This window comes from Homo sapiens, chromosome 18 (assembly GCF_000001405.40).
Source record: "Homo sapiens chromosome 18, GRCh38.p14 Primary Assembly".
In the NCBI taxonomy this organism is placed as follows: Eukaryota; Metazoa; Chordata; class Mammalia; order Primates; family Hominidae; genus Homo; species Homo sapiens.
The window spans coordinates 14,547,262-14,567,438 of record NC_000018.10 but is presented as its reverse complement, the minus strand read 5'-3'; the positions used below and the strand labels follow the sequence as shown (position 1 = coordinate 14,567,438).

At 35.4% G+C, this 20,177-nt stretch overlaps 1 long non-coding RNA gene across 5 annotated transcripts in view; it reads left to right on the top strand.

The window, feature by feature from the left end:
• LOC105372004 (uncharacterized) overlaps nt 1-12,230 on the top strand; it is an 87,301-nt gene extending 75,071 nt beyond the window's left edge. For 4 of the 5 annotated variants that reach the window (XR_935173.3, XR_935175.2, XR_935174.2 and 1 more), the window contains one exon: nt 6,911-7,035. This is a non-coding gene — a long non-coding RNA (uncharacterized LOC105372004). Of the gene's footprint in view, nt 1-6,910; nt 7,036-10,859; nt 10,940-12,061 lie in introns of those variants that run through there. The other variant, XR_935172.2, reaches the window with a different exon arrangement.
• Nucleotides 12,231-20,177: the final 7,947 nt, after the last annotated feature.

Sequence of the window (20,177 nt, the reverse complement as noted above, 5' to 3'; positions counted from 1 at the left end):
AGAAATAATCAGTGTGTTTTATTATTAATAACATATGCAAGCCTACTGAAATCACCATAGTTCTTTAGTAAGCATCAGAAGCCTGGAGTACGGATGTATATTTTTCTCCTGTCTTTATTATAAAACCCCTTAGAAAGCAGTGACATTGACTAGATCAGGGATTAAACACTATAATCTACTTGCAGTGGGAGTCATTAAAATGTTGACCCAACTTTTCACAGAGTTGCAACAAGAACTGTGAAGTGTGTCTTTGCTATTTAAAGTGGGAATGCACTCCTGTGATGTAGCAATGTTCATTGGAGAAAAGCACAACTGGGACTGGCCTAGGAGAAGAAAACATTGAAGCAGTCATTTACAGAGCATATGGGGAACAAAAATTACTCCTTTAGTTATGGAAATATTCCCATATTTATGCCCCAGTTTTCAAAATCCAACAATTGGAAAATTATTCTTTTAGGCTAAGGCAATTTGTCTCCAGCAAATACTTGCTTACTGGAAGTTGCGTATTAAAGGAAGTATCATGCATTAAAGTTTCTGACAATACATTAAAAAATTAGCACAAACTAATACTGATAGCTGTTTCGAGGGATAGGTGAATCATAGAAAGGGGGACGTTGGAAAGTCCAACATAGCCAGGAGGAGAGAAGAGAGGTAGTATGGAGTACCTTAGATGAATAGTGTAAAAATTAAATTATAGAAATAAACGTTAAACATTCAGTTCAATGCTTACTACAAGGAAAGTACTTAATAAAATATAGTAGAAATAATAGCAGGGATGTTTATAATAATTATCATTATTTTTGAAGTGTTCATAATGGATTATCCAGGAAGATACAGATGTGGATTCACAACCCAAAACCATAAGCCAAGGGTCTTGCCATATTTACCTGCAGGTCAATCATTTATCTGTGGCTTGCTCTCTAAGCACGACTTGTTTCCCAAATACCTCAAAGACTGAACTCTTCCCAACTGTCATATCCATCCTACATTCCCCACAGGTCTGGCAATAGACCCCAAGAAAATCTTCCCTAGCTGACCACATTTCTAGCACTCTTTGAAATAAGAAAGCAAGTTTAGTTTTAAGATGTTTTTCCTTCTACGAAGAAAAAGGAAACGACTTTTTAAAAACTTAACAAAACTGGTATAAAGATTTAATAGTTTTCTAGTTGTCCCTTGGTATCCATAGAAGATTGGTTCCAGGACCCCCGCTGATACCAAAATCCATGGATGTTCAAATCCCTGAGTTAAAATGGCATGATATTTGTATACAATCTAAACACATCCTCCCATATACTTTAAATCATCTTAGATTACTTATGATGCCTAATACAATATAAATGCTATGTAACTAGTTGTTATACTGTATCACTTTCTGAATTTGTATTATTTGTATTGTTTTTTATTAATATTTTGGATCCGCTATTGGTTGAATCCAAGAATATGGAACCCACAGAAAAAGAGGGCTAGCTGTAAATCTAAAATATGTATCCAATTGTAAAACAAGAAATAAGGATATATAGTAATTATTAGAGTAATCCTGGAAAACTGTATAAATCCTGGAAAACAGGTATAATTATTATTAGAGTAATACTGGAAAAGGCAAGAGAATAAACAGAAAAAGAATAGAAATAAAAATAATTCAGAAAGAGAGAGCATGAAGGAGTTTTTTGGTATTAGTAACCTGTTCTATATCTTGGTTGTGGTGCTGATTACATAATCTATATATATGCTAAAATTAATGGATTGTTTACCAGAACAAAGAAAAGGTCCATTTTACTTTAAGATAATTTTATAAAGTAGAATTTTAAAAAGTAAACCCAGATAATTCAGTACAAGGGCAAATTTCAAAATGAGAAAATAAATTCAATAACCTTCTTACAAATTATTCAACAATATATTGAACTTAAATATATTGAACTTAAATATATTTAATTGTTAAATAAATATATTGAACTTAAATATATTTAATTGTTAAATAAATATATTTAACATTATATAACATTATATTAAATATGTAATATATTAAAATGTAATATGTTAAAATGTAGCCAAAAAGAACCTATTCAGATGAACAATAGGCTATATAAAGTAAATAGGAATAATCTTAAACAGAAATGTGTTGTTTATAAATGACAAAAGCTATACTATTCTAAAAAAAAAAAAGTTGACAAATAAATTTAAATACTTATTATGGTATTGGAGAAAAATGCAACATCGTTCAACACATACATTTTCCCTCCTATAAAATGAAATTCAATAAACCATGAGATATTTTTGAGTTCACAAAATAATTTTCAAAGTTTGTGTGAAGGCAAATCAGATTAAAGTAGTCAAGAATTAGAAATATTATTTCATTTTGTTTGTTTGCTTTATGTTTTGGTTTTTAGCTAACTTAAGCTTTTTTTATTCGTACAAATTTATGGGATACGTGTGGAATTTTGTTACGTGTATGTAATGCATAGTGATTAAGTCAGGATATTTAGGGTGTTCGTCACTCCAGTACAATACTTTTTAAAGTATAGTTATCCTACTCTGCTATCAAACATTCAATTTATTCCTCCTATCTTATCCTTTAGTGCACTTCTCTTTGTTCTTTCCCCTGCCCTTTCCACTCACTCTTCCCGGTCTCTGTGATCTATTTTTCCACTTTCTACCTCCACGTGATGAAATTTTTTTAGCTCCTGCATATAAGCGAGAACATGGGATAGTTACCATTTTGTGCCTGGTTTATTTCACACCAGTTTTATCCATGTTGCTGCAAATGACATTATTTCATTCTTTTTTATGGCTGTGAATAATATTCCATTGTGTATATACACCACATTTTTTGTTGGTTTGTTTTCTGTTTTATTTTTTCATGATTTTTATTGGAGGATATCATCATGAAATATTCTGTATTTTGTATGTTACTGGCTTGATAATAGATCATGCTCGGAAATTATTTCAGAGCTTCATCACCTCTTCCAAGCACCACTTGGGACCTGAGTACCCCAAACATGGCTGGGTACACCTGCACATCATGCTACTGCCCCTGCGCACCAGCACATCCCTGGCTGCTGAGCCGTCCACCTTGCCATCTTCACTGGTCAACAGTTCTTCATGCCGTTTGAAGAGCTTTGCAAAATCCCTCACCAACTTCACAAACCCTGAGTCTTTTTACTATCACCTTCATAAGCCCAAACCCCCACTTAGGTTGGTCTCATATCTTTGCATTGTGAAAAGTACTGCAATAAACATGCGAGTGCAGGTATCCCCTTGGTATATTGATTTTTTTCCCCTTTGAGTAAATACCCAGTAGTAAAATTGCTGTTTCCAATGGTAATTCTATTTTTACTTTTGTGAGGAATCGCCATAATGTTGTCTACAGTTGCTATACTGGTTTACATTCCCACCAACAGTGTAGAAGAGTTCCTTTTTCAATCTGTTATATTTTGTTTTGCTTTGTTTTTGTTTTTAGTAATAGTCATTATGACTAGGGGGAAATAATATTTCATTGTGGTTTTGATTTGCATTTATATAATGATTAGTGATGTTGAGCATTTTTTCATATATCTTTTGGCCCTTTGTATGTCTTCTTTTGAGAAATGTCTATTTATATCCTTTGGCCACTTTCCAGTGGAATTTTTTTTCCTGTTGAGTTGTTTGGGTTTTTGGTAAATTCTAGGTATTAGTCCACTATTAGATGAACAGTTTGCAAATATTTTCTTCCATTCAGGAGGTTGTCTCTTCGTTCTGCTGATTATTTCTTCTGCTGCTCAGAAGCTTTCTAAGTTAACTAAGCCCCATTTGTCTATTTTTATTTGTGTTGTTTGTGGCTTTTGAGGTGTTAGTCATAAATTCTTTGCCTAGACAAAAGGCCAGGAAATTTTTCCCTAGGTTTTCTTCAAGTATTTTTATAGTTTCAGGTCTTCTGTTTAAGTTTTTAATCTACTTTGAGTTGATTCTTGTATATAGTGAGATAGTGGTCCAGTTTCATTCTTCTGGATGTGGCTATCCAATTTTCCCAGCACCATTTATTGAAGAGTGTGTCCTTTCCCCAGTGTCAGCTTTGTTGAAGATCAAATCTGCAAACAAATTATAAAACTGTAATATCTAAGTAATATTGGAGAAGCACAAAAAACAACTGACAATGTAAGGGACTTGAGAACAATGAATTATATATAGACCAAGTATATATAAGACCTTACAATATTATAATGTGAATATGTTACCTGAATTGCCAAAAGGGACTTTGTAGATGGATTTAAGGTTGCTAATCAGCTTGCCTTCCAAATGCTACCGGAGGTACAAAGAGGAGCTGGTACCATTCCTTCAGAAACTATTACAAACAATAGAAAAAGAGGGACTCCTCCCTAACTCATTTTATGAGGCCAGCATCATCCTGATGCCAAAACCTGGCAGAGACACACATAAAAAAGAAAATTTCAGGCCAATATCCCTGATGAACACCACTGCAAAAATCCTCAATAAAATACTGGCAAACCGATTGCAGCAGCACATCAAAAAGCTTATCCACCATGATCAAGTTGGCTTCATCCCTGGGATGCAAGGCTGGTTCAACATACCCAATCAGTAAACATAATCCGTCACATAAACAGAACCAATGACAAACATCACATGATTATCTCAATAGATGCAGAAAAGGCCTTCAATAAAATTCACCCCTTCATGCTAAAAACTCTAAATAAACTAGGTATTGATGGAACGTATCTGAAAATAATAAGAGCTATTTATGACACACCCACAGCCAATATCATACCGAATGGGCAAAAGCTGGAAGCATTCTGTTTGAAAACCAGCACAAGACAAGGATGCCCTTTCTCACCATTCTTATTTCAACACAACATTGGAATTTCTGGCCAGGGCAATCAGGGAAGAGAAAGAAATAAAGCGTATTCAAATAGGAAGAGAGGGAGGTAAATTGTCAAAGTTTGCAGATGACATGATTGTATATTTAGAAAACCCCATCATCTTAGCCCAAAATCTCCTTAAGCTGATAAGCAACTTCAGCAAAGTCTCGGGATACAAAATCAATGTGCAAAAATTACAAACATTCCTATACACCATTAATAGATAAACAGCCAAATCATGAGTGAACTCCCATTCACAATTGCTACAAAGAGAATAAAATACCTAGGAATACAACTAACAAGGGATATGAAGGACCTCTTCAAGGAGAATTACAAACCACTGCTCAAGGAAAAAGAGAGGACACAAACAAATGGAAAAACGTTCTGTGCTCATGGATAGGAAGAATCAATATCATGAAAATGGCCATACTGCCCAAAGTAATTTACAGATTCAATGCTATCCCCATCAAGCTACCATTGACTTTCTTCACAGAATTAGAAAAAACAACTTTAAATTTCATATGGAACCAAAAAAGAGCCTGTATAGCCAAGACAATCCTAAGCAAAAAGAACAAATCTGGAGGCATCACACTACCTGACTTCAAACTATACTACAAGGCCGCAGTAACCAAAACAGCATGGTGCTGGTACCAAAACAGATATATAGACCAATGGAACAGAAAAGAGACCTTAGAAATAATGCCACACATCTACAACCATCTGATCTTTAACAAGCCTGACAAAAGCAAGCAATGGGAAAAGGATTCCCTATTTAATAAATGATGTTGTGAAAACTGGCTAGACATATGCAGAAAACTGAAACTGAACCCCTTCCTTACACCTTATACAAAATTAACTCAAGATGGATTAAAGGCTTAAACGGAAAACCTAAAACCATAAAAATCCTAGAAGAAAACCTAGGCAATACCACTCAGGACATAGGCATGGGCAAAGACTTCATGACTAAAACACCAAAACCAATGGCAACAAAAGCCAAAATTGACAAATGGGATCTAATTAAACCAAAGAGCTTCTGCACAGAAAAAAAAAAAAAAACCTCTCATCAGAGTGGACAGTCAACCTACAGAATGAGAGGAAATTTTTGCAATCTATCCATCTGACAAAGGGCTAATATCTAGAATCTACAGGGAACTTAAACAAATTTACAAGAAAAAAACAACCCCATCAAAAAGTGAACAAAGGATATGAACAGACACTTCTCAAAAGAAGACATTTATGCAGCCAACAAACATATGAAAAAAAAGCTCATCATCACTGGTCATTAGAGAAATGCAAATCAAAACCACAATGAGATACCATCTCATGCCAGTTAGAATGGTGATCATTAAAAGGTCAGGAAACAACAGATGCTGGAGAGGATGTGGAGAAATAGGAACCCTTTTACACTATTGGCGGAGGGTAAATTAGTTCAACCATTGTGGAAGACAGTGTAGCGATTCCTCAAGGGTGTAGAACCAGAAATACCATTTGACCCAGCAATCCCATTACTGGGTATATACCCAAAGAATTATATATCATTCTACTATAAAGACACATGCACATGTATGTTTACTGAGGCACTGTTCACAATAGCAAAGACTTGGAACCAACCCAAATGCCCATCAATCATAGACTGGATAAAGAAAATTGGTCACATATACATTATGGAATACTATGCAGCCATAAAAAAGGATGAGTTCATGTCATTTGCAGGGACATGGATGAAGCTAGAAACCATCATTCTCAGCAAACTAACACAGGAACAGAAAACCAAACACCACATGTTCTCACTCTTAAGTGGGAGTTGAACAATGAGAACACAGGGACACAGGGAGGGGAACATCCCACACGGGGGCCTGTCACAGGGTGGGGGGCTAGGGGAAGGATAGCATTAGGAGAAATACCTAGTGTAGGTGACAGGTTGATGGGTGCAGCAAACCACCATGGCACATATTTACCTATGTAACAAACCTGCATATTCTACACATGTATCCCAGAACTTAAAGTATAATTTTTAAAAAAGACTTCACCAATATTATTTATTTTTCCTGTTGCCTCAGGTTCCAACGTGGCTCAACATGGCAGTTGCTGATCCTGACTTTGCTTAAAATTTGGTACTTTGTTTATCACAAATTTTAAAATTAATTTTGATTTCTCAAAATATTGATTAAAATGTTTATCTCTACTATTGAGTTTTTGGGCACGCCTTTAAATTTTGCATGCAAGATAAGCACCTTCCTCAGTTGTAGGATGTTGACGGTGATAAGGACATTAGCAAAGGAAATATTGAAAAGCTCGTGAATACTGTTGCGTAATTCTTCTTAGAGAAAATAGTTTCTTGGTATAGGATAGAACAATTGCTAAAGGGAAGGTGACCTCCTACATAGCATGAAAAGATGTGTCATGATCTTGGTATTTGTAATTTGTTCCCTTTCACTCTGCTCAACTAAAACAAGGATGAAAAACATTTTTCCATTAAAGATTATTAATTTTAAAAATTAATTGAGTCAGAAAAAATAAATGCAAATTAATTTTATTTTATTTTAAAATTATTTTAATCTTTTGCTTTAAAGAAAACACTGAGTTTATGGGTCACTTTACAAGTGAAATAAGAACACAGATTTGGGGGTAATAAACATAATTTAGCACCAAATATATTTGTTCTAATTTATTTCACAGTTCAAAAACAAAGTGTAAGAGTAGAAAAAGGAAAGAAAGAAGAAAGGAGAGAGAGAGAAGTACAGAAAAAGTTACAATAATCAAAATAAAAATCAAGAGAAAAGGGAAAAGAAAGACTAGCAGAGACATAAATGGAAAGATAGTCGTATGACTTAAAAAAAAAAAAAAAGGTGAAGAGACAGAGAGATACTAGTCCACGAGGAGAGCAAGACCATCTAGAGGCAGAACTCCTTATCTAAGGAATTCAGAAGTAATTAGACATCCCTATTATGTAAAGCTGGCATCTGGTATGAGATTTCTTTTCCAAAAATTTGTGAGTAACCAGAATTTCTATGCATCTCTGGAATGCATGTATTCTAAACTCATTGTGCAACCCTTGCTGACATCAAGGCACCAAAATGTCTATAAATGTAATTGTTTACCATGACCTATGTGGCTAATATGGTAAAAATTACCCTTAAGCTCCCACTTTAAGGTCCATAAATACCCTAAGGAAAAATCTAGTGCAGTGGCGTACTCAGTCCTCTCTTGCTGAGGAGCCCTGCTGCACTCCTCTGCAGCATTCTTTCCATCTAATACAGCTTTCCTTTCCAAATCTATACAGTTGTTGGTAAATTCTTCTTACTACCCACAAGCCAACCACACTCCACTGCCTGGGCTGTGACAGCTCGCATGGCAGTCCATATAAATGCACAGTCTACAAATCCATATAACCACAAAAAGAAAACAATGATAAAGAGAGCTGCACAAAGGAAAATAGAGAAAGGAAGCAAAATGAATGAGGTTAGATACGTTCTTAGGTGGAATAACAACCCCATCTTGGAGTAGGTTAGTCTTGCCACCAAAACTTTTAAAAACATGATTTTTTTCATAATTGTGCATATAATCCAGGATCTTACTCACCTCTTAATGTTCACTCTAATACATAAGATAAAATTAATTTGAAGATCTAAAATAGTCCTCAAAATGGAGACTTTTTAATCCTTCTAGGAAAGTTTTATCACCTTGGATAGATTTTTTCCTCTAGATAATCTTGAATTAATTTTACAATGAAAAGTATTACTGGTATTTTATTAAATTGTATTCAATTTATGCATTGGCATGTATATATTCAATAATATTACTTTTAACCAACAAAAGAGTTTGTCTCTGAATTTATTCATTTTTTTCTCAAAAAATATTACCACTTTTTATATGAACAGATACTTCCCAAAAGAAAACATGTATACGGCCAATAAGCATATGAAAAAAAAAATGCTCAGCTTGACTATTCATTAGAGAAATGCAAATCAAAACCACAATGAGATACCATCTCACACCAGTCAGAAGGACTGTTATTAAAAAGTCAAAAAATGGCTGGGCACGGTGGCTCACACCTTAAATCCCAGCACTTTGGGAGGCCAAGGTGGGCAGATCACGAGGTCAGGAGATCGAGACCATTCTGGCTAACACAGTGAAACCCCGTCTCTAATAAAAAATACAAAAAAAAAATACAAAAAAAAAAAATTAGCTGGTCGTGGTGGCGGGCGCCTGTAGTCCCGCTACTTAGGAGGCTGAGGCAGGAGAATGGCCTGAACCCGGGAGGTGGAGCTTGCAGTGAGCCGAGATCGCACCACTGCACTCAGCCTGGGCGACAGAGCGAGACTCCATCTCAAAAAAAAAAAAAAAAAGAAAAGAAAAGAAAAGTCAAAAAATAAAAATTCAAAGAGAATTTTTTTCTTTTTTTACTTTTATGGCATGACTTCTAATATTTTTATATCCTTAACACTTTATACAAAAAAATCAAAGGAAGAAGAACATTTAAGTTTACTTTGTTTCATTTTTCAGAGTTAATAGTTGTTTCACATTCTCACCAAGATTTGATTTTTAAATGTTGATCTTGTATCCTGCAACCCTTGATAAATTTCCTTGTAAATTATAGTTCTTTAAAGACACCATAGTATGCTCTACACATATATTTCTTCTATGAATAAATAGATTTTTATTTTTTCTTCCTAATATTAATACCTTTAAAAAAAAACTTTATTTCAGTGGTTAGCACATGTTGAATAGAAGTGGTGAAAGCATGAATACTTGCATTCTTCCTAATCTTAAAGGGGCATGCATTCAAGATTTTATCATATGTTATAATGGTTGCTATAGGTTTTTCATAATTGCCCTTTATTGGACTGGAGAGGTTCCCTTTCATTTCCAATGTACTTAGAATTTTTTACAGACATGAATGGATGTTAAAACAAACGATTTTCTGCCTCTATTGGCGTTCACCACCACACCCAGCTAATTTATTTTATTTTATTTTATTTTTATTTTTATTTTTATTTTTAGTAGAGTTGGGTTTCACCGTGTTAGCCAGGATGGTCTCGATCTCCTGACCTCCTGATCCGCCTGCCTCAGCCTCCCAAATTGCTGGGATTACAGGCACTAGCCACTGCACCTGGCTGAGGACGTCTTTAAAAAGGTAGCATAACTCCTATTTCTAGCCGCTCTTGCAACTAAAGGTGGCTGTGTACAGAATAACTCTATTCCTCTATATCCTGTTTGGACAAACCATCTTTCCATTGATTTAAGCACACTTTCAGAATAAAACGTAATTTCTTATCTCAGGAATTCCAAAGTCTAATGGAAGAGGCAAGCTTATATTGAATAATTTAGCAAAGCAGATTGTGCTTGGCAATAATAAAGTAATTCAATATATAAAACATAAGAAAAGGAAATATCTGTTTCATAGTTGTAATTAATTAGAACTTTACTATGCAGAATAGGTAGAGAGGCATTCCTCAAAAGATTAAGAGAGGTATAAAGTAAATGTAAATGTCAGCTATAGGGGTTTTCTTAGGCAGAGAATCATGCTTTAGGGTAAATGAAGGTGACGCTGGTATTCAGGTTCCTTTGGAGAAGGCAACAATAAAAGTAGAGTTATCATTTATGAGATCCAAGAAGTCCAAGAAAAGATAATAAGAGCCCAAGCCACAGCAGGCTCAGACTTTTTTTCCTAAATAAAAAGGAACGAATAGCTAAATATGACAAAAGTCAAGGTATCTTTTAAGAAAGTTACACTTCCTCTGAAGCACAACAGAAATCAAAGATAGTCACCCTACAGCACTCCTTGCCTCTCTTCCAAGGATACAGCTATGTATTGTTTTTTTAAAAAGGTAAAGGGAATATATCACTTGACCATGTCTCTTTCCAAGGTGAATTTCTCTAAAAGCACAACTTTGGGGCACTTGTATGAGATATAGTTTAAACCCCACTGAATTTGATTTCCCACCCTCCCAGACACTTACCTTTATTATTTTCTCATATTTGTTTGCTTTCGTTTCCTTAATATAGTCCAGGAAATGTATTTGTGGGCCATCCTACAGAAGTTATAATGAATGGAAAAACGTGAAGAACCTTCTATTCTCCCAAGGGTATATGGCAAAGAGGGTTTAATTGCACCCAAAATATCAATGTGGAAGGGTCACATAACTGATACTATAAAGTAACACATTGTCTTACAGAATTTTCATTCTTAGGCTGAAATATTACCTTCTTCATCAAACTTACCTGACCGCATGTTTGATGTTGTTTGAGTAAAATATAATACTCTTTTATTTCCCAAATGCACACAGACACACACACACACACACACATATTATGTTTTGGGAAATATATGTGCTATAGTATCTATATTTATTCACTTCTTAAATTTGTACTTAATTAAAATGACAAAATGAATTTGCTGAAAGGAGTTGGTAAAATGATCAGCTGTATTCAGTCACATAACTATTGTTTAGTCTTAGTAATGAAAATAGAAAAAAAAAAAAAACCAGCCAGGTGCAGTAGCTCACGCCTGTAATCCCAGCACTCTGGGAGGCCAAGGTGGGTGGATCACCTGAGGTCGGGAGTTCGAGACCAGCCTGGCCAGCATGGTGAAACCTCATCTCTACCAAAAATACAAAAATTAGCTGGGCGTGGTGGCACGCACCTGTAACCTCAGCTACTTGAGAAGCTGAGGTAAGAGAATCGCTTGAACCTGGGAGGCGGTGCTTGCAGTAAGCCGAGGTTGCGCTACTGCACTCCAGCCTGGGTGACAGAGTGAGACTCCACCTCAGTCAAAAAAAAAAAAAAAAATGAAAATAGAAAAAAACCAACAGACACTAAAAGCTAAGAAAATAGTGTGTTCATTTTGGAGTCTAATTCAAAATTCATTACAATGAATTTTAACGGGCCACCAGAGGCATGTGTTGAAGTTCACTGAATATTATTCAATGTTTGAGAATTACAGACAGCACACATATTTCATTTGTAGCAATGTCTGATTTGTTTTACATCTATATATTTGCATTTATTTAAAACAAAAAACGTCTAAATATATTTCATCTGTTATTTGGAAAAAACATTGAGTAACTAATTGTCCAAATATAGCTCTCTATTTTCTAATTTTTAATTAACAATGCTTCTTATTTAAAAAAATAACTTATTTCAAAATAGCTGACATTTAATGTTTTTACATTTTTTAAAGTGTTCATGCACATCTATTTAATTTCTAGATATCGTGAGGGAATCGTCACTGTATCTGGAAGCCAGATGCCAAAGATGTTCAGTTATTATCAATGTATCTATGCATAAAGGATTGAAAATGATTCTTCATGCCATAATTTATCTAAATATTCATTCCTTTGGAACACTGTTTTCCACCAATAGTAACAAGACTTGGAACAAAATAAAATAGCAATATCATGTGCATTTTCTATTTCTGCACTTTTCCACTTCTGGAAATAGTCATAGAATCATTTTGTGACAGATTAATATCATCCATGATCCTAAGTCACTAAGAATAAGTGTTAGATTCTTTGGGTTAAATTGCCATAAGGACTAAATTTATTTTTTTAACCAATTCCCTAAAGAATCAACTGATTTTAGTTTTACAGCATATGTATGACCTCTCCATCCATTTTGCCTTAATTCTAGTTCTTTTTATCCTTCAGTGGTGAGAATGAGAAAACCTGGATGCATATGGCTATGGTTGATTTGAAAAGTACTTTTTAAACATTTGGAAGTTTTTCAAAACCAAAAGCATATTTGCCAAGTGATCTTTTCCCCCTACATTTTAAATCCATGTGCAACCTAAGAGAAATTTAGACCATATGCTAGTTCAGATTGACTTACATTAAAATCATGAAAATTTTATTTAATAGCTCTTTGACACACAGGGAGTGTTTAAATTAAGCTTCTCTAAATTTTACATTTTTCAAAATACACTCTGTTTTCTATCTACCCTCAACTACTCCTCACTACTCTCCAGGAAAATATCAGATTTAATTCAGGAGATGTAAGTTGGATGTTTTCAGTCCATCAACAATGATTAAGTAATTTAAAAAGCATTCTTTTTTTTCACTTCTTCTCTAGTTTTTGTTTGTTTGTTTAAATATCTCTGTGCAAGTTCAGAACAGTTTTATTTATATTAGGATCAATAATCTGAGGAATGAAATAAATTGTTGCATTTGTTGCAATAAATGAGTTTATGCTCCCTTTACAGAACATTAAGGACATGAACTTTTAAGAAAGTTTTAATGTTTCACTATAAATGATACTTGAGCCTTCTATTAGAATAAATAAGGTAAACTTATATAAAGAAAAAATAAAAATCTTCTCCTTCTCATCTGCATTTGCAATCCCACATGCACTGAAGTAATCAATGTTAATGGTTTTCTGTCCATTTGGCCACACCTCTAATGGATGGAATTTATGTAGTGTAATTCTTTGTCAGGTACAACTACACATGAGTAAAACTAGGTGTGATTTAGGACTCAAGATTAGGATTTTTAACTAGTAGTGAAATGGGAAGGGAAAAGCAAAAGTAAAATATACATCAACTAATTGCAGAAGGGTGTATAGAAGGGAGTCATCTGTATATATGACATCTGATGGCCCCGCCACTCAGCTAACCCATCCACGCATGAAATGATAAATAGACAAGTGCATTGAAAATTGTAAGTGTGATGGAAAGGTCACCACGTGATTGCTACTATTATATTGTTTTATTATTTTGTTCTCCCAACAATGTATAGCTCAAATTTATACTACAGGCTGTTCACATCCCTTAACAAAATATCCATTAATTTATGAATTTGATAAAATTCTAACTTACTGCAATGCCCTACAAATAATAGTTCGGCCCATCTGTGGTGATGACTGTTCCGGAAGATCTTTTTGATGTTGAATAACTAATACTGTTTTTCAATGTTACTATTAGGTTGGTGCAAAAATAATTGAGATTTTTGCCATTAATCACAACTACATTTGCACCAACCTAATAGTAATTTAACATTCTGTATCTAACATTTGTGGACACTGATCGAATATGCAATATTCTGGGGAGAAGTTGGTGGAAGAGATGTGTGTTGTTTTGTGAAAGATAGTATTCTGAGGGAGGGCAGAAAAGGGATATATATATAAGAAAATAGTGGATCTTGATCAGATGCATGCTTGTTCCTATTTACAAGAAGTCTACTCTGTGTTACTGAACAAATAAACTTACATGAAGTCAACTAATTTCAAAGAATTTACCGTCTAGAGAAATTCACATTTGTAATAATAAATAGTTTTCTTAACGACAGAAATTTCATGTCTTTTTTATTTTATAGCTATAAACATAGAGTTATAAAATCTAAATACAGACAAGCCTACCCAGTGTTTGATTATATTCAATGATGTTTAAAAGTAATAGCCTCTCTTTTGTTCTTACTGGGAACATTATCATTAGCACAGTGCTTCATGCAGGCTCTTATTACTTCTCTCTCCCATTGTTATGATTGGCAAAGCACAAAGCCATACTCAACTAGGAATGCTTGGGCACATTGCAGCATTTATCACAGGGTGGACTGGATACTGAGTTTCTTAATTTATAAATTTTTCTTTCCAATGCAAAATTCGTGAAGGCTTAATGTTGGAAAAATGTCTGAATGGCTATAAATTCCCTTCCTAATTCCCTCCCCTCAATGCATACCTGTTTTTTTGGGGTTTTTTTGGCTCATTCTTAGAACTGTAGCTGTTCTTGAATCTTTGATGGGTTGAAGCTAATCCACATTCAGATTTTACAATCTCATATAATTGCCAAAATTCTACCCTTCAAAACACTTGTTTCTTTTTTTTCTCTTACATTTCCTCAAAGAAAATTAGTGAAAAAACAATTTTTTATTTGGTCTGAAACTTTATGGTGCAAATCTGAGGACAGGAAGAAATTTAGGGACTTGTTTGTGCACTTTTGATATGGCGAATACCTGGAATATATATTTTTCTCTCTGCACAATGCAAAGTAGTTGCACTCACAAAGTATCAATTAGAAAAAGAAATTATTTCCACATTTCATCAGAGTTTTAAGTGGTTACACTACAATAATCCCCAGCTATTTGGGAAATGGTAAAAAAAAAACTTTGAAGATCAAGCCATCATTATTATTTTCACTAAAACCTAAAAATTCAGCCACAATATGTCAAAACAGTTGGGACAGGACTTCCTTCTTCTAATTTAGTTTTTACTGCTGGATACCTGACGGGCTACTTACTATATCAGGTGTCTCATAGGGCAAATTGTACCTGGAGATAATGTGAATATTGGGTCTGTTATACTCATCAGTCTGAGCCAATATAAACATTCTATGAGTAATTCTGAATACTATCAGTCGGCTTGTCTTCAGCCTTTAAATTTAGTAATAATAGCAAAAATAGCCAACATTTATTGAGAACTATGTTCCAGACTTTACTAAGAACTTTATCTGCAACATTTTATTTAATGCTCATCACCAATCTGTGAGATACTATTGTTTTGCTCACTTTTACATAAAGGAAGTAGGGCTTAAAGAGGCAAAGTAACTTGACTATGATTACATAGCTAATAAATTTTGGAAAATGCCATGATTTAAAACTGTGATTGTAAAAATTATAGCAAAACATCAGACCTTCTTATTATTTACCTCCCCTCTTTCTTTGGAGGTGGTCAATCTGTATATATATACCATAAATTTTTCTCCTATCAAAATGGCTTCATAACATTTGATAACAATTAAGGAAATCTAAACAATGTATGGACTTTAATTTAATATCATGTGGCAATATTGGCTTGTTAGTTTCAAAAAAGTTACCATACTAGTACAAGAAGTTACTGAGAGAGGAAACTGAGTGTGGGGTATGGGAGAACACTCTGTGTTATAGTCAATTTTCTAGCAATCTAAACCTATTCTAAAATTAAAATTCTATCTTAAAAAATGACTATATAGGCTGGGTGCAGTGGCTCATGTGTGTAATCCCAGCACTTTGGGAGGCCGAGGCGGGCAGATCACCAGGTCAGGAGATCGAGACCATCATGGCTAACACGGTGAAACCCTGTCTCTACTAAAAATACAAAAAAGTAGCCAGGCGTGGTGGTGGGTGCCTGTAGTCCCAGCTACTCAGGAGGCTGAGCAGGAGAATGGCATGAACCCAGGAAGCGGAGCTTGCAGCGAGCTAAGATCACACCGCTGCACTCCAGCCTGGGTGACAGAGTGAGACTCTGTCTCAAAAAAAAAAAAAAAAAAAGAAAATGACTGTTTATGCATACCCAGCCAGTGTTTAAAACAATCCACCCATACAACTAACAGACATCTTCTATCACAATTTTATGATGGTTTTGCTAAAGAGTGGCAAAATATACTCAGAAACCAAATTAGCTGATTTCGTTAAACCCATTCTTCTTAATGTCAGAAGCCCTTATTCCATGTTTTCAAAATTCATGATATTGTAAGGATTGTGAAAAAATTCGAAAGCAAATTAAGGTAGTCAAAGGAAAAGTGTTTACAAAAATGTTACTAGCACAACAATCCATCTACAAAAATGTGAACATATTTTAATAACGTTGAACATGGCAAGAAGAGTTGCAATATAAAAAGAGATTTACATGTACAAAAGCTGAGGGAAAAAGTTTCAGCTTCAAGCATTAACGTTTTAGTTCATAAATCTGAAGGAAAATAAAGAGAAAATAAAGGTATTAAGAGATATGAAACAATGTAAAAGAATGAATATTTCTTTTATGAATCCTTGTGAATATATGACAGTATACAAGCTACAGAAAACTAGTTTACTGGGCGGATCACGAGGTCAGGAGATCTAGACCATCCTGGCTAACACGGCGAAACCCTCTTCTCTACTAAAAAATACAAAAAATTAGCCAGGAGTGGTGGCGGGCGCCTGTAGTCCAAGCTGCTAGCGGGGGCTGAGGCAGGAGAATGGTGTGAACCCGGGAGGCAGAGGTTGCGGTGAGCCGAGATCGCGCCACTGCACTCCAGCCTGGGCTACAGAGAGAGACTCGGTCTCAAAAAAAAACAAAAAAAAAAAAGAAAGAAAAAAGAAAACAGATAAAGGACAAGCAAATAGAGAGGGGGAAAGCAGCCACCACCGTAATTTGAACAGTAAAACTGAGAGGAACTTTGAAGTGGAAAGGAGTGTAGTCTTTATTTCATCCTTGGGGATTTGTCAGGGCTGGAGGATGCACACAACAAATAAATAATTTAGAGCGCTCTGAAATATGGTCAGACAGCATATGCCTTGCAGTTATGTCTACACTTTGTGCTTGATCCAAGCATACATATTATTGGGGCAATATCTGACTGATACCTTTTAAACACACACACACACACACACACACACACACACACACACACACACACGATGTTTTATAGAAAATATATCTGGGCCTGGCTACATTTCCAGAGTGTCCCATTTCTCTTGGTTCAAATTTCCATCTAGAAATCAAGTTAAATCTTTGGGATGACACTAATGTTGTAAAGGTGCTGCATAAAAATAAGATTTTTTAAAGTAGATAAGCCATTGAATAATTTTCTACAGCAGGTGAGTGACAGAAGCATCGACCTCAAATTTCACAATGGACTCCAGTGAGAATTCCCTGCAATCATGTCTCTTTTCCCATTTGTTAAGTACAACCACAGTACTACAACCACAGCCACAACTACACCAACACGATTTCCTCACATGATCAGCTGTACTTTCCTGCTCTAGTCCAACGTCTTCCAGCCATGCCTTCCTACAGCACTCTACAGCAAGGGTCAGCAAACATTTTCTAAAATGAGCCAGATAGTAAGTCAGGACTGGGAAAGGCTGTGATAAATGAGAGAGAATGAGTGACTACACAGCCGGGAGGAGTGTGAAAACAGAAAAAGGACAAGGCCGGGCACGGTGGCTCACGCCTGTAATCCCAGAACTTTGGGAGGCCGAGGCGGGTGAATCACGAGGTCAGGAGATTGAGACCATCCTGGCTAACACAGTGAAACCCCCGTCTCTACTAAAAATATAAAAAATTAGTCAGGTGTGGTGGCGGGCACCTGTAGTCCCAGCTACTCGGGAGGCTGAGGCAGGAGAATGGCGTGAACCCAGGAGGCAGAGCTTGCAGTGAGCCAAGATCCCACCACTGCACTCCAGCCTGGGCCACAGAGAGAGACTCCGTCTCAAAAAAAAAAAAAAGAAAAAAGAAAAGAAGAAAGAAAACAGATAAAGGACAAGCAAATAGAGAGGGGGAAAGCAGCCACCACCGTAATTCAAGTTTTATGTGCTGTATTGTCGCTCTCAACTGCTCACCTCTGCTAATGTGGAGCAAAAGCAGCAATAGGCAATATGTAATGAGAGATATGGCTGTCTTCTTCAGTGAAACTTAATAAAAAGTGGCAGCAGGCTAGATTTGGCTTATGGGCTATAGTTTGTCAAACCATGATGGAACGTTTAAAATTTCCCTGGTTACTTTAACTGCAAAAGTGAGTCTTGCATGTTATATTTTACCTCTTCCAGCAGGGCATACAGAGAGGAGCTAGTCAGAACAATTCTTTTTGACATTTATATACTGAGAAGTATACCGGTGTGTTACTACAGTACATCATGGAGAGTATTCTATCCTTTCCTTTCAGTTCTCATCTTTTGTCCTAGATTAATAGAGAACATCATGTACTGTTTTCGGACAGAAAAACTAACAAGCCACCTAAACCCAGTCTTTCTGGCCTCTTAACATTAATGTTGAACTTTCCTTATGCACGGTCAACAAAGATGCTTCAACACTTCTGTAAGCTTCTCCAATCAGACACTGTGTTTCATTTTGTCATCTGCAAAAAGCAGAGGAAAGAGTTTCCAATTTTGTATTGGTTATCAACTGCAGCATAACAAACCACCCCACAACTCAGAAAAATAATCATTTATCCTCTCAGCTCAAGTATCTGGAAACATCTAAGACCAAATTGATCTAGGTTGAAACTAGTTGGGCTTCACTGAACTTGCACTTCTGCAGTTTACTGACTGGAGGGGGTTTTATTATTTACTGGCTTGCATTGGGCAAATTATCTAACGAGGATCTGCACCACCTTTCTTTCATCTTCCTGGAAACAAGAGACTAGCTGAGATATGTTTGTCTCATGGTAGTGAAAGAGGCACAAATCAAGTCTAATTATGCAAACTCCATTTAAGCCTTTGCTTTTGTAATGCCTGCCAAAGTTCCACTGGTCAAAGCAAGCCCCAGGAGTAAACCTGGGTCACCAAGCCATAGTAGAAAGACACTACACATGGAGCGGATTCAGAGAAGTGTGAACATTTTAGTCAGATGTGCAACCTCTCTAAGACTGGCACAAAGGTGAGTGTCAGTAAAAGCCCAGCTTAATTCCAGCTACCTGATGTTCAGTTCAGTTTTTCGGTTGTAAAGAAGAGATGATGATGCCTACCACAGAAGATCATTTGTGCAATTACAAGGATTAAATAAGAATATGAGAAATGTGTGAAGTGCCTAATACAAAGTTAATTGGTAAATGTTCTATATTTTTCATATACTCTTGGGCTTGAAAACAGATTAATTCTAAGCTTTTTAATATTATTCTGTCATAATTGCATAGTTTAGTGGGCCTATCAGCATGTATAAGCAAATGTTAATCAGAGCCAGCCAAGGTTGTGTCTTTTGGATACCAGGAAAGAAAGAGTTACCGTGGCTCTTAGAGAGGAATTGATATGGAATTTAGTAAAAAAATAAATTTTAGTTTGCTATCCAAAATATATGTTTTGTAAATAGAGCTAAGATTTGACTGGAAATTTGAGAAAGGTTGGACAATTAGTTATGTATATAAGAAACTGTGCTGAACCTGCCAAATTCTTTGAAGTGGGTCACAATGATTGAACAGAGAAGGTGCAAGTATGATATACAGGAATATCACATGACAAGATTTAGTGGGTAGGTGGTTATTGCCATTTGGTCTGTTTTGCTATTTATAACCAGTCTTAGGAGTTTTCTTTAAAACTCATAAGATGAAGAAATGAGAGTCTACACTAGCACACAATAATAATATAGATCGGTTGAAAGTAAAAGGAGGAAAAATGGTATGTTATGTAAACATTAATAAAAGAGGGCAGGAGTGTTATCTCAATACCAGCTAAAATTAATTGCAGAGCAAAGACAATTGGGAGAGACAGAGAAGGGCATCACATAAGAAAAAAAGAGTCAGTTCACGAAAAAGATTTGGCAATCTTAAATGTATGTGCAACCAATAACAGAGCTACAAAATATGTGAAGCAAAATCTGATAGAACTGCAAGAATAAATAGACAAATCAACAATTGTAATTGGAGACTTCAACAAGCATCTTTCA